Source organism: Homo sapiens, chromosome 4 (genome assembly GCF_000001405.40).
Source record: "Homo sapiens chromosome 4, GRCh38.p14 Primary Assembly".
Lineage (NCBI taxonomy): Eukaryota > Metazoa > Chordata > Mammalia > Primates > Hominidae > Homo > Homo sapiens.
Genome location: NC_000004.12, coordinates 89,473,354 through 89,488,928, shown reverse-complemented (window position 1 = coordinate 89,488,928; position 15,575 = coordinate 89,473,354). Strand labels below are relative to the sequence as shown.

At 35.9% G+C, this 15,575-nt stretch overlaps 1 long non-coding RNA gene across 3 annotated transcripts in view; it reads left to right on the top strand.

Moving 5' to 3' along the window:
- Positions 1-3,369: 3,369 nt before the first annotated feature.
- The window catches only part of LOC105377328 (uncharacterized), a 29,105-nt gene continuing 16,899 nt past the window's right edge, over positions 3,370-15,575 (top strand). For 2 of the 3 annotated variants that reach the window (XR_938979.2, XR_938980.2), the window contains exons 1-3: positions 3,370-3,579; positions 13,255-13,348; positions 14,550-14,615. This is a non-coding gene — a long non-coding RNA (uncharacterized LOC105377328). The remainder of the gene's footprint in view (positions 3,580-13,254; positions 13,349-14,549; positions 14,616-15,575) is intronic. The other variant, XR_938981.2, reaches the window with a different exon arrangement.

Here is a 15,575-nt window from a genome sequence, read left to right as displayed (position 1 = left end):
GAAGAATTATATAAACTAATTAACAGAAAACCTTGCGGGAAACTGGTCTCATTAAAAATCTTGATAAAAGAGGGGAAAGATGCCATAAAGAAAAAAAAAAACAGATTTTCCTACATATAACCATTGTTTCTTTGTAATGAAATATATCGTAACCAAAATAAAAGGTAAAAGGCTAATAAAATATTTTCAGAAAAAAACATGAAAGGATAAAATGCAAGCACATATAAGGAAAAATTAGTAAACAAAAAATTGAAAAAGTAAATAAAATTTTCATTAAAATTTGGAAAACATACCTAATAAATATACACAGTGTAAAATAAGGTAATAATTTATGCTAATGTGTATAATAAATGTGTATAATAAAATAATTTATGGTAATGTGTATATGTACATTGATATCATTTTAGAAACCATTTTTATTCTGGGTTCCAAAAATTACATAAAAGTCTCCTTCAATGCAGTAATCTCACTCTAGGGAATTTTCCTAAAGATTATCTAAAAGAACTAATATATTTCTATTCATTGCAGATTTACTTATAACGGAAAAAAACCTAGCTACTTGGCAATAAGAAATGATTAATTAAATTCTGGCCTATCAATTCGATGAAGTATTATTGGGCAATAACTAAATTGTTATTTATGAGACTTCTGTAGCAACATTTGATAAACATTAAGTGCAAATAACTGTCAAAAACTTTACATAGCTACCAAGAATAGAAAAGAATGTGGAAAAAGTTTTGAGTGGAAATATCGTGAATGCTATGTCTAATTTTTTGCCACATTTTTATTGTAGCTTATTTACAGGGAAGGACAGTAGATTAAAAGCTTGCTCAAGCTTTTATTGGAATTCAGTGATTTCAAAATAGTGAAATATAAGCTATTCTAGCTGAATTTGCATTGTACTGTTTTTCCAAAAACAACATTTTTCAATTATAAATGTGCTCTAAAGAATATTCAATAAAATATTTCACTAGTGCAGTTAACTCAGACAGACAACGTTTGACAGGACGTTTTACTGAACTAATTGATAACGTTTTGGATTTCAGAACTAGGAACTAAGTAAGGTCTGGCACCAGGCCGAAGGCAACCCAGATGGAACCCCAGCTGTTCTAAGTAGAAACCATCTCGAAGTTCTTAGTGAAGAGAAAGTAAAACTGATACGAGAACTCTCCTCTCGTATATAATTTGCCTATATGGTTATATGAAAAAATCGATACGAGAACTCTCCTCTTCTTTATAATTTACCTATATGGTTATATGAAAAAATTGTCACAGGAATTTCGTTAGAATGCAAGCTCAGTCTGCCCGCAAAATGCTTTGGCTGCTTTTTTTTTTTTGAAAGGGAGTCCCACTCCGTCGTCCAGGCTCCAGTGCAGTGGCGCAATCTCGGCTCCCTGCAAGCTCTGCCTTCTCCCAGGTTTATGCTATTCTCCTGCCTCAGCCTCCCGAGTAGCTGGGACTACAGGCGCCCACCACCACATCCGACTAATTTTTTTGTATTTTTAGTAGAGACGGGGTTTCACCATATTAGCCAGGATGGTCTCCATCTTCTGACCTCGTGATCCGCCCGCCTCGGCCTCCCAAAGTGCTGGGATTACAGGCATGAGCCACCTCCCTGGCCTGGCTGCTTTCTTAAAACCCTGATTCAATTAGAGCAGGGGTCAAAAGCTAAGGGCCTGGGGGAAATCTGGCTTACAGATTTTTGTTTGTGTGGAAATAGCTTTGATAAAGTTTGAACTGAAATACCTTATGGTGGGGTTAGCCGTCTAGACCAATTCAGACATTTATGTTACTTGCCTGGATCCCAGAGGCATTTGAGCTGATGATGTCTGTATTAGAACATTTGGGACCCTGAACTGGTGGAGAAGTGACTGTGATCTGAAAAGTCTTCTGAGTGGGCCCATTATGGGAGCCCCCTAGATCTCCCTAATTAGTTGATAGTTCAATTTTTCTAGGAGGCCTAGGGCTGTGGCAACTGAATTTGAATTCTTCAATGTATGTGGTTGCAGAGGTTGGGGAGATAGGATCCTCTCACCCCTGAGCTTTCTTATCTTAGCCCCAGGGGTTGAGATATTTTGCACCTGTTGTCCTGGGATCAAACTATCAGTGTAAGGTTGGAATCAGTCAGCCTTCAGTAAGTTGAGAAAGTGCTAGAAGGCCCTTTTCCCTTTTCTGTGCTTCCTACTGGAGAAAGGCAGCTCCCAGCAACCCTTAATTGACTGTCAGATATAATATTCTAATATAATGATGTTGGCATTAATGATAGTATATGGAGAGTCTTCTGCCCCTGTTTAAAAGAAAAATACAATCATTTGGAACATATTGCAATTAGGCATGCATCTCACATAACACCTTTTACCTGAGAATCTCAGACGTGTATAGAAATTAGCTGATTTACCTTTAATGAATGATATATTTTTAATTCTTAGAGCCTGCAGACCGCATATAAAAAACATAAATGGAATTCCAAGGTTGAAAGAAAAAGACAGAGCGTAAAAACAAATAAAATACATTGTCTTTTCAGGAGGGTTGAATATGTCCAATGGGAAGAAACATTGCATGTGATAGATAAAGGCATCAGTGTGACATGCTTATGAAAAAGCACGTTTTGCCCTCTAGCATTTTTCACCGTTAGATTCAAATAATAGTTAAACATTTCTCCTTTGTACCAAGAGCATCTATTACTCAGGCATCTTTAACTTTTGGTGACATCTACTGTACAAAGGGGAAAATGCTGTGGAGTCATTCTAGGAATGATAGTTGAGCTGCTTAGAGTGTATCTAGCTGTTATTTCTTCTTCTTCTTCTTCTTCTTCTTCTTCTTCTTCTTCTTCTTCTTTTTGTATTCACAATGCTATAACTTTTTTGATATTTCTCCTCAATATAAATAGTCCTCATTTTAAAAAGTAAAGATATTTAAATAATTTCCATATGCATTGTGTCATAGAAATATTGACCTGAACTGGCAAATTCTAACTTAATGTTCTGGCAAATAGTTTAAAGATTGTATTTCAACTTAATAACTTTGCTAAAACTCTGGTCTAATATTAGGAATGACATTAAGGTGGATATTTAAGTACATTCTCTTGTATTTAAAAACAGCTACATCTGAAGGCTGATTAAAATATTATCAATATTATAATAGTAATATTTACAGTAGAACTTGAATTTTAAAGGCAATTAAAGCTCCTAATAGGTTGTCAACTTTACTTTCTAGTCGCTGTTCTAGCTATAAAAAATAAGCACAATTATCTAGTATGCACCAGAAAATAGGCATCATTTATACACACTCCTAATTACACTCCATCTCAATCCTTTGGCTCTGTTCCACAAGTGATGGTTTGAAAAACACTTACATACTTCATAGCTCTTGATTATAACTAGGAAAATCTCTGAGGCATATGGTAAATCAACAACAAAGTAAACCACTTTTTAATTGAGTATTCATTATTTGCAGGTATTCTGCAAGACACATTTACCAATTAAGGTGATAAAATCATCCAGCTCCCAAAGAAAAGTTCAAAATAGGAAGATCTCAAGTTCTATAAAACAGCCTAGTCTCACCCACTCCTGTTAACAGGTGAGAAGATATTTCCCCCAGTTGACTATGGTTCTCCAGTTCTTAAAAAACAAACATAGTTTTTTCTAATTCTGTGAAGAACGTCATTGGTAGTTTGATAGGAATAGCAAAGACATGGAATCAACCTAAAAGACCATCCATGGTAGACTGGATAAAGAAAATGTAGCACATATACACAATGGAATACTATGCAGCCATAAAAAGAATGAGTTTATGTCCTTTACAGCATCATGGATGGAGCCAGAGGCCATTATCCTAAGTGAACTAACACAGGAACAGAAAACCAAATATCACATGTTCTCATAAGTGGGAGCTAAACATTGAGAACACATGGACACAGAAAAAGGAAACCATGGACACTAGGGCCTGCTCGAGGATGGAGGATGGGAGGAGGGAGAGGGTCAAAAAACTACCTATTGGGTACTCAACCTATTACCTGGGTGAAAACATAATCTTACACCAAAACCCCATGACACACAACATACCTATATAACAAACCTGCACATGTATCTCTGAACCTAAAATTCAAGTTCAAACAAACAAACAAAAATGCTTATTCTTCTAATCTTATTCTTCTTATGCATTGTAATCTAGTAGACAGACAGCCATTTCAAAGTTCATGGTAGGAGAAAAAACATATATGGTTGAAATAAACAAAACTAGAGTCTCGTGCAATGTTACATGAACAGGTTGAACTATTAAGCAATTCCCTTCCTATTGTGACTTCCTTTTCAGTCCTCAATATCCTTTTATTTAAATGACCCTGAGACCCAATAACCTGCTTGAAAGGATTAACCCATGTCAATAAATACATATATACATACATGATTATCTTTATAATTATGTGATTTAGTAATTACATATTTAATTTAACAATTATGTGATAATAATTATATATGGTAATCTTAATTATTCTGTGAATATTTATCAGCAAGGTTGGCTTGCCTATGAACAATAAAATATATGTTATCTCTTAAGGGTTTACAGCGTAGTAAAAGAATGCATCAACAGTTGAAACCAAAACAGAATGCGTTAAGCGACCAGATGAGGTACTTAGCATGAATTTAGGATTTAGAAAGAAAGAGTACTTCCAGCTGAGGGAATCAGAGGAAATTTTATGGACAAACTGATCCATTTGGTCAAATATGAGCAGTGTGTTTATTTTCAAAGTGGAGGTGTAGGTAATCTAGGTAAAGAGAAATTCAAAACTCATGTCACCATGGCAGCAGGAAAGCACAGACAAGAGTGGCCCATAGGTCTACTCATTGGATACACACTGGCTATGAAAGAAGTGACTAGGAAACAAACAGAGGTTGGGCCATCTCATAAAGGGAACTGAATTGCAAACGATGGAGTTTGAATATTTTCACCAGGAAAATTGAGTTGCTCATTTCAGATCCTTAGATCATGGTAGAGAAGTGTTTCCATATCTGCCTCTCAAGTCAAATTCCTTTTAGCGTCTACTCAGAGCTATTTTCCTGGGTTGGGTTTACCCTAGCCTCATTCTTCTTATGATTTTGATTTCTTACTGGCCTTAAACTAAGGCTTTTGGGTCTGTTATTTGCTATAAATCTTTTACACTAGATCAGTTTACACTTTGGATTCTGAAAAATCTTTGTTTTCCCCAATTTCTCTCAATATTACAAATTACAGACCAGTGGTCCCCAACCTTTTTGGCACCAGGGACTGGTTTCATGGGAGACAATTTTTCCACAGGCCAGCAGGGTTGGTTTGGGGATGAAACTGTTCCATCTCAGATTATCAGACATTAGGTTCTCATAAGGAATGCACCACCTAGATCCCTTGCCTGCGCAGTTCATAATAGGGTTCACTCTTCTATGAGAATCGAATGCCAAGGCTGATCTGACAAGAGGGGGAGCTCAGGTGGGAATGCTCACTCACCTGCCTCTTGCCTCCTGCTGTGCCGCCCAGTTCGTAACAGTCCGCAAACTGGTACCAGTCCATGGCCCGGGGACCAGGCACCCCTGTTAGACAACCACCATTTTGCCCTCAGAAATTACTTCTTATACTTACTGTCAATTTTAAAATACTTTACATTTCCTCCCCAAATATATTTTATCATATTCAGTCCTTGAATTTCCTTGATCACTTGTAGTAAGTAAAGGAGTATCCTGGGAATCCATCGGTCATCTCCCCGGACTATGGAAGGTGGGAAAATAATAGCATAGGAAAAGGCAAAGAGGCAGGAGGAAACTTCACCCAGACTTAGTCACTCTTACCCACCTTCCAACAACCCTGAGTCACTTTCTCTTAAAGTGTGAAATAATCCTTTCTGTGACCTGTCAACAAAATACAGAAACAACAGTTTTGAAATGCCTAATATATAGGCCCCAAAATATTCACAGCTAATTAAATTCAGTTGATAATTCAACTGCAAATCATAAATATACATGCTACTTGAGATTCTGCCTAGAATTTAATTTTCATCCTAATTCTAGCAATAACTAACCATTTTTCCACTATATCAAGTTTTGGGTTTTAAACACTAGGTCAAACAAACACAATCTTGAGGTTTCAGTCTATGAGTTTATAAATTTTTAAAATCATCTATCACTATTCTTCTACTAATCTCAGCTTATTGTAAAATTAAGTCACCATATGTTCTTTTTAGTTCGTGGTCTCAAGGAAAATAGGACAATTTCAACTAATAAAAGGAATTATAAAGATTTTTCACATTTCTAGAACTAATTATTAAAATGTTTGCATGAATCAACCAGCTTAATTTGGGCTCTGCACAAGTCTACAGTAAGTAGGTAAAATGACCATGAATAAATCACAGTTCTCTCCATAATTTCAGCTTGGTCCACTTGCTTTGAACTGGTGTTCCCACCTGCTTCACTCTCCCTTAGATCACATTGTCAGGACTGCCATCTACTGACAGAGCTGGCTGCATCTAAGTGAGATGATTTAAAAGAGTGGCCATGTCATTTGTTGACCAATCAGGACAGCTTTGAGAGTCCTGATGTAAAAAAAAAAAAAAATTTTTTTACATAGTGCTCCTCAAAAAAAAGTTAATTTTTTTCTAAAAAGAAAAATACAGATCTGTACAACTGAAACAAAATATTTAAAACTTCTTTGTATTCATTTCATTTTCTGAACCTTAAAAGATAATATAAGCAGAATAAATATTCTTGGTACATATCCATGTTCTAAAATAAAATTTTTTAGTGATATCTTTCTCTAATACCATGTCACTGGAATTTTCTTGAAAAGTATATTTTTAAAATATAATTTTATTATTTTTACATTTTTAAATTTAAATGCCTTTCTGAAATCATTTGATTTAACGTAAGGGATGATATATTTTCATTTAAATTTATCATCTTATTCAGTGCTTTCTATTTTTCTTGCCTATTTTATATTCCCTTGTCTCTCCATTCTTGCCTTATTTTTTTTTTTCAACTTTTAAGTTTCAGGGTACATGTGCAGGATGTGCATGTTTGTTACATAGGTAAACGTGTGCCCATGGTGGTCTGCTGCACCTATCAACCCATCACCTAGGTATTAAGTCCAGCATCCATTAGCTATTCTTCCTAATGCTCTCCTTCCTGTCTCCCCACTACAACAGGCCCCAGTGTGTGTTGTTTACTCCCACATGTCCATGTATTCTCATCATTCAGCTCCCAATTATAAGTGAAAAATGCAGCGTTTGGTTTTCTGTTTTTGTGTTAGTTTGCTAAGGATAATGGCTTCCAGCTCCATCCATGTCCCTTCAAAGGACATGACCTCATTGCTTTTTATGGCTGTATAGTATTCCATGATGTATATATACCATATTTTGTTTTTTATTTTTATTTTATTTTAGGTTCTGGGATACATGTGCAGAACGTGCATGTTTGTTACATAGGTAAATGTGTGCCATGGAGATTTGCTGCACTTATCTACCCATCATCTAGGTATTAAGCCCCACATGCATTAGTTATTTGTCCTGATGCTCTCTTTCCCCCTGCCCCACTGACAAGCTCAGTGTGTGTTGTTCTCTCTGTGTCCATGTGTTCTCATTGTTCAGCTCCTACTTATGAGTGAGAATATGTGATGTTTGGTTTTCTGTTCCTGCATCAGTTTGCTGAGGATGGTGGCTTCCAGCTTCATCCATTTGTCTGCAAAGGAAATGATCTCATTCCTTTTTATGGCTGCATAGTATTCCACGATTTACATGTACCACGTTTTCTTTATCCAGTCTATCATCGATGGGCATTTAGGTTGATTCCATGTCTTTGCTATTGTGAGTAGTGCTGCAATGAACATACATGTGCATGTATATTTATAATAGAATTATTTATATACCTTTGGGTATATACCCAGTAATGGGATTGCCTGGTCAAATGGTATTTCTGGTTCTAGGTCCTTGAGGAATCACCACACTGTCTTCCACAATGGTTGAACTAATTTACACTCCCACCAACAGTGTAAAAGCATTCCTTTCTCTCTGCAGCCTTGCCAGCATCTGTTGTTTCTTGACTTTTTAATAATGCCATTCTGACTGGCATGAGATGGTATCTTATTGTGGTTTTGATTTGCATTTTTCTAATGATCGGTGATGTTGAGCTTTTCTTCATAACGTTTGTTGGCCTCATGAATGTCTTCTTTTGAGAAGTGTCTGTTAATATCCTTTGCCCACTTTTTAATGAGGTCATTTATTTTTTTTCTTGTAAATTTGTTTAAGTTCCTTGTAGACTCTGGATATTAGAACTTTGTCAAATGGATTGATTGCAAAATTTTTCTCCCATTCTATAGGTTGTCTGTTCACTCTAGTGATTGTTTCTTTTGCTGTGCAGAAGCTCTTTAGTTTAATTAGATCCCATTTGTCAATTTTTGCTTTTGTTGCAATTGCTTTTGGTGTTTTCATCATGAAATCTTTGCCTGTCCCTATGTCCTGAATGGTATTGCCTAGATTTTCTTCTAGGGTTTTTATAGTTTTGTTTTTGACATTTAAGTCTTTAATCCATTTTGAGTTAATTTTTGTGTAAGGTATAAGGAAAAGGTCCAGCTTATTGATTATCCAGTTTTTATTGATTTGCAGATGTTGAACCAACCTTGCATCCCTCCCAAGGATGAAGCCAACTTGGTTGTGGTGGATAAGCTTTTTGATATGCTGCTGGATTTGGTTTGCTAGTATTTAATTCAGGATTTTTGCATCAATGTTCATTAGGAATATTGGCCTGAAGTTTTCTTTTTTGGTTATATCTCTGCCAGGTTTTGGTATCAGGATGATGCTGGCCTCATCAAATGAGTTACTGAGGAGTCCCTCCTTTTCAATTGTTTGGAATAGTTTCAATAGAAATGATACCAGCTCCCCTTTGTACCTCTGGTAGAGTTCAGCTGTGACTCTCTCTGGTCCTAGGCCTTTTTTGGTTGTTAGGCTATTTATTACTGCCTCAATTTCACAACTTGTTATTGGTATATTCAGGGATTCGATTTCTTCCTGGTTTAGTCTTGGAAGGGTGTATGTATCCAGTAATTTATCAGTTTCTTCTAGATTTTCTAGTTTATGTGCATAGAGGTGTTTATAGTATTCTCTGATGGTTGTTGTATTTCTGTGGAGTCAGTGGTCATATCCCCTTTATCATTTCTGATTGTGTCTATTTGATTCTCCTCTCTTTTCTTCTTTATTAGTCTAGCTAGTGGTCTATCTAGTTTATTAATTTTTTCAAAAAACCAGCTCCTGGGATTCATTGATTTTTTGAAGAGTTTTTTGTGTCTCTGTCTCCTTCAGTTCCACTTTGATCTTGGTTATTTCTTGTCTTCTGCTAGCTTTCGGGTTTGTTTGCTCCTGGTTCTCTAGTTCTTTTAGTTGTGATGATAGGTTGTTGGTTTGAGATCTTTCTGGCTTTTTGATGTGGGCATTTAGTGCTATAAATTTCCCTCTTATAAGTGTTTTAGCTGCATCCCAGAGATTCTGGTACATTGTCTCTTTGGTCTCATTAGTTTCAAAGAACTTCTTGATTTCTGCCGTAATTTCATTACTTACCCAGGAGTCATTCAGGATCAGGTTGTTCAATTTCCATGTACTTGTGTGGTTTTGAGTGAGTTTCTTAATCTTGAGTTCTAATTTGATTGTGCTGTGGTCTGAGAGACTGTTATGATTTCAGTTCTTTTGAATTTGCTGAGGAGTGTTTTACTTCTCATTATGTGATCAATTTTAGAGTAAGTGCCATGTGGCAATGAAAAGAATGTATATTCTGTGTTTTTGTGTGGAGAGTCCTGTAGATATCTACCAGGTCTGCTTGATCCAGAGCTGAGTTCACGTCCTAAATATCTGTTAATTTTCTGTCTCAATGATCTAATACTGTTAGTGTGGTGTTAAAGTCTCCCACTATTATTGTATGGGAGTCTAAGTCTCTTTGTAGGTCTCCAAGAAATTTATGATTTATGATTTTGGGTGCTCCTGTATTGGATGCATATATATTTAGGATAGTTGGTTCTTCTTCTTGAATTGAACCCTTTACCATTATGTAATGCCTTTATTTGTCTTTTTTGATCTTTGTTGGTTTAAAGTCTGTTTTGTCAGAAACTAGGATTGTGACCCCTTCTGTTTTCTGTTTTCTATTCCCTTGGTAAATTTCCCTTTATTTTGAGCCTATGTGTGTCTTTGCGCCTAAGATGGGTCTCTTGAAGACAGATGGGTCTTGGCTCTTTATCGAGCTTGCCATTCTCTGTCATTTAATTAGGGGCATTTAGCCCATTTACATTTAAGGTTAGTATTGTTATGTGTCAATTTGATCCTGTCATCATGATGCTAGCTGGTTATTTTGCAGACTTGTTTATGTGCTTGCTTCGTAGTGTCACTGGTCTGTGTACTTCAGTGTGTTTTTGTACTGGCTGGTAGTGGGTTTTTCCTTTCTATATTTAGTGCCTCCTTCAGGAGCTCTTGCAAGACAGGCTTGGCGGTGATGCATTCTCTCAGCATTTGCTTGTTCGAAAAGGATCTTATTTCTCCTTCGCTTATGAAGCTTAGTTTGGCTGAATATGAAATTCTGGGTTGGAAATTCTTTTCTTTAAGAATGTTGAATATTGTCCCCGCATCTCTTCTGGCTTGTAGGGTTTTTGCTGAGAGGTGCACTGTTAGTCTGATGGGCTTCCATCTGTAAGTGACATGACCTTTCTCTCTGGCTGCCTTTAACATTTTTTCTTTCACTGAAATCATTTTAAAAGGTAATTTATGATTAACAAATTTAAAATTGTTGGCATATTCAATTGACTCCTCTCTTTAGGCCATAATTAAGAAAAACCTTCTCTGTAGGTGCTGAAGTACCAGAGATATTCAGAGTAAACTCCATTAAATGGCAGGCATAGTCATATATATCATGTGGAATGTTGTAAGAGAAACCAAACTTATAAATTGTGAAGTAGATAACTAAATTAGATTTTAAATGGAATGTCACAAACTAATAATATTATCAATTTAAAGAAGTGGGAGATCAGAGGCCATACAGATTGGGCCCTTCTAGCAATTTTAACAAAAATATGGTATGTTTCCAGTCAAAAATTAAATTTTTTCCTTAGGCTTTGGAGACTAGAAAATCCTTGTTCTGTATTGTGGATAAAACAAACTTAGATATTGATTTTATACCTTCATTTGCACTGGCCAAAAGGATGCTCAGATCAGAGAGGCACTTCGTTCATAATTGTGCAAGATCATAAGTGTACATATTGTCATTATTGTTGCTTGATTTTGCCTTTAAGTTTATTTACTTGAATATATAATATAAATACAAATATAATATAAATTTTGAGTGTTTCAACTGATATAAAAATGTATACAAGAAAAGTTATCTTCACTTTTCTATCCTTCAGCTACTCATACCCCCACTCCCATGAGGAAAAAAAATATCGTCAGTTTCTTTTCTATTCTGTCAATGGTCTTCCAAGACCACTGTGTGTATACTTTTTCTTTTCTTCTTTTCTGTAGGAATGGAGCAAGCCATACACATGATTCTACCTTTTGCTGGATACTTTTAACAATATATGTAATGTAGTTTCCTATAAGGACATAAAGATCTTCTACAGTCTTCTTTATAACTGCTTAGTATTCCAGTTTCAGAATGCTGTACCAAAATTTGGCTATTCCATAATTTATTTAACATGACACGTACTAATTACATTAGGGTTGTTTTCAACCTTTTGCCATTTCAAAGAGTAAAATAATGAATAATCTTATAAATATATTATTATTTTACACACATAAAACATTTTTAATTTTGAAGGTTTTCTTCCAAAAGGTACTCTATACAAGTATTCTCAATTTACATTCCTACACAGATATGCTACATTTTTATTATATTTGCCAATTTGACTGGTGAGAAACAGTATCATTGTGATAGTATTCTCTTATTGTAAGTGAAGTCAGGCAGCTTTTCGTGATTAAGATCCATTTTTATTTTCTGCTAATTTGTATTATTTGCCCTTTTCTATTGGATTGATGATCTTTTCCTTAATGATTTTTTAGAGTTCTTTTTATATTAGGAAAACTACACTTTTGAAGGTAATAGCTGCAAATATTTTTTCCAGTTGGTCACTTTTCTTCAAGATATTTTACCTTGCAGAATTTTATCAATATCATCATCATCATCACTGTTTTATGGAGTTGAATTTATTAGTCTTTTTTGTATATATTCTAAGTTTTGGATCACACTTTATATATATTGTAAGTTTTGGGTCATACTTTCCCTCTCTGAGATTATTGAAAATATATTATTTTGTCAGTCTCCTTGATTCCAGCCCTGCTGTTTGACCTTCATTGTTTATGGAATCCTTTCCAACTATTTTTGAGTCTGGGGTTTATCTGTCAGCTGGTTTTACCAAAGAAGTGATTTGTGTTCAATTATCTTCTTGTTGCCTTCTTGTGATTTCTTAAAAGGAGAAACATTTTGGCTATATGTATTCAGGTTCAAACTGGAAGTCCTTTTTAAGAAAAAAATCTTATTATATACAATGTATTTCTGTAAGTCAAGTCAGATCCTTTGTAGAATGTGAATATTAATGCATAAACACAATTATCTTGATATACAATTAGTGCTGGGTTTTTGTTTATTAGCATGTTTGTTTTATATTACTTAGCTTCCTTTCACCAAAATATATGTTGATTTTTTAAATTGTCTTGGGGCACTGTCCTTCTAGGATTAAGTTGCACTATAATACTTTATAATTTTACACACAAACTTTTCTTACAACCGCAGGAGTTTGAGAGGCCTCCTCAGAACTCCTAATGCTCATCATGACCTCATTTGAGATTCAGAGAATCCAAACAAAATCATTTACGATAAAAGAGAAAAACTTGCCTTTGATGTTGCCACTGATGCATGAGGAATTAAAATGCCAAACAAGATGTGACCTATTTTAAAAACCCATAACAAACATTATTAAAATGGTTATTTATTTTGAAATGATCATGGAACATATGATTCAACATAAAACCTTGCAGTTTCCAATATGAATAAGCTTAGAAAATATATACTCAACATAGTTTTAACCAAATTATTAATTTTTATTCAAAATCTTTGGTTAATGTAGCAAGTTCATTGACAATTAACTTTTTTATATAGAAAAAGATCTAGTCAGACTGTTAAGAATATAAATTAATTAATGTTGTAGAAAATAAAATTTAGGTACAAAATATAACAGGATATTAAAATGAGACTTCATATGCTTCAGTTTCATGCCAGGCCCAAAAGAAAAACAGAACCATACATGCCAGCTGCCCTCCATTTCAAAGTATCTTGCTAAATCATCTATGTAGGACTGCGAAGTAAGTAGTAAAAAATATTTTTGCACTTATTGACTCATACCCTGATTTGAAAATATGTCTTGGTTTATATTCTATACAGGTTGTAACAGAATATCACAGATTAGGTGATTTATTTATTTATTCATTTATTAAGACTGTGTCTCGCCCTGTGGCCCAAGCTGGAGTGCAATGGCACGATCTCGGCTCACTGCAACCTCCGCCTCTTGGGTTAAAAAATAAAATTTATTTATTACAGTTCTAGAGGCTAGGAAGTCCAAGGGCATGGTGCTGGCATCTGGTAGGGTCTTCTTGCAGCATCATAACATGATGGAGGGCATCACAGGGCGAGAGGGTGACAGCGTGTGTGTCAGCTCAGGTCTGTCTTCCTATTCCTATAGTCACCAGCCCCATAACGAAGGCCTCACCCTGATGACCTTATCTAATTCTAATTACCTCCCAAAGGTCCCATGTCCAATCAACATATGAATTTGGGGATTCAGTTTCCAACACGTGAAATTTGCAAGACACATTCAAATGTTTGCAGGTTGTAAAAAGTTGAAGAAACCTAACTAAAGAGAGAATTTCTTTAAAATAAGTTGCCCAGATGCAGTGGCATTTTACCTATTTCTATTATGTGGCTAAGAAACAAGGTGTTTGTCCTGACCTCACAGCTGCGAAGTGGATCTTCCAAAGTGCTGCCCAGATAATTTGATATTTGTCCACTAAAGTTTAGAGATATAAACATTTGGTGTTTGCTTCACACCTGAGAAATTCAGAAGTGGAAGTTTGTACCTGGATCTGTAAAGAAAGAAGTCTCTATTTTCCATCAGTGGTTGGTCAGAGAGGTGTAATTTTTATGTTGAGAAGTGGGTTTTATAGGAAAGAACCTGACATGCTCTTTTAATGGGACACTCCTCTTCAAGAGCATTTGCTGCCAGGAAGGAGGAGCCTTTAGCAAGAAGAGGCTGTAGATACACTGTCCAATGGAGAAGCTGCTGGGAGACAGGGGAATGTAGGGAATAACTGTCACAGAAACATTCCCCACACACAAAAACTGAATTTTGATGTTTTTGCAAAGGGAGAAAATCTAAGAAAGCCACAAAAATATTCCAGAAAAAAAAATGAGCCCTGGGAATCTGCCATACTCAGAGGACACTAAATACCAAATTGTATCTGCCTCTGTCAACTAAGATGTTTTTCACATCTTTTGTTCTCCCTCCAGAACCAATCCAGGAAGTTGCAAGAGCAGCCTTGTGGGCCAAGTGATGCCAAGAAGGATCAGAACAAGGTAAGGAAATGGAGAAGTGTCCACACTCTCCTCCCCTGCTAAAGGTTTCTCAGATTGAAGCAGTGTGTCAGGGGCATTTTAAAAAGGCTTTAATTTGATTAAAGTGCAGAGGTTGGGTTATTAAAAGAGACAAGGTATACCATTTCAATACTGAGTCCCAATGGATGACTAGAATTTAGCAAGATAAAAGGAAACTTTTTTCCAAAACATAGGAAATATAGCATACCCATGTTGTATTCACCTCTTCTTCACTCTGTTGATGAGGAAGGGATTCCTACCCTAGGGTTAAGGAAATGGCTGAAAACACAACACCTGCCATTGAACAGATGAGATTGACAGGAGTTTATTAATCAGATATACGCAGAGCCCAGGGGAGAAGGACATCCTAAACCAAGGAGGACTATGTGGAGGTGCACTTGGGAATCGATGAACAAGCAGGGGCTGTGGGGGGCTTTGTAGTAACAAGAGGGTAGGGTGAACCCTGCTTCCTATGGAAGGATGTGAGTGGCTTCTTTGAATAATTTTGTGAGCTGGCACAAAAGTGAAGCCAGGGGACATAGGGATTGTGCCTGGTCCCCATGATAGGAGGGTTATTTGGCTAGGGGAGCTTATTGCAGAAGCAGAGGGGGAGGATAACTTGTTGTTAGGCCACTCAAGACCCTTCTAAAATTTCAGGCCTTCACTATAATATAGAAGCACCAGAAAATATTGTATATTTAGAGTCTTAGTACTATTTTGGAATGCCTTGAATGTGGAGTACAGGAAGAGAAAAGTTGGGATGAGGCTGAGAGATAAGCAGGAGCCAGAATCTAGTCTCAAATTCCTTTTTTATCTAGGTCTCTAGCTATAATAAGGTGAATGTTCGTATTAGGGCATAGTCAGAGACAGGTAGAACAATTAGGAAGCTGTTGGAGTCTTGTGGGAGAACGGAATGTACTAAAAGTAATACTGGGAATAGAG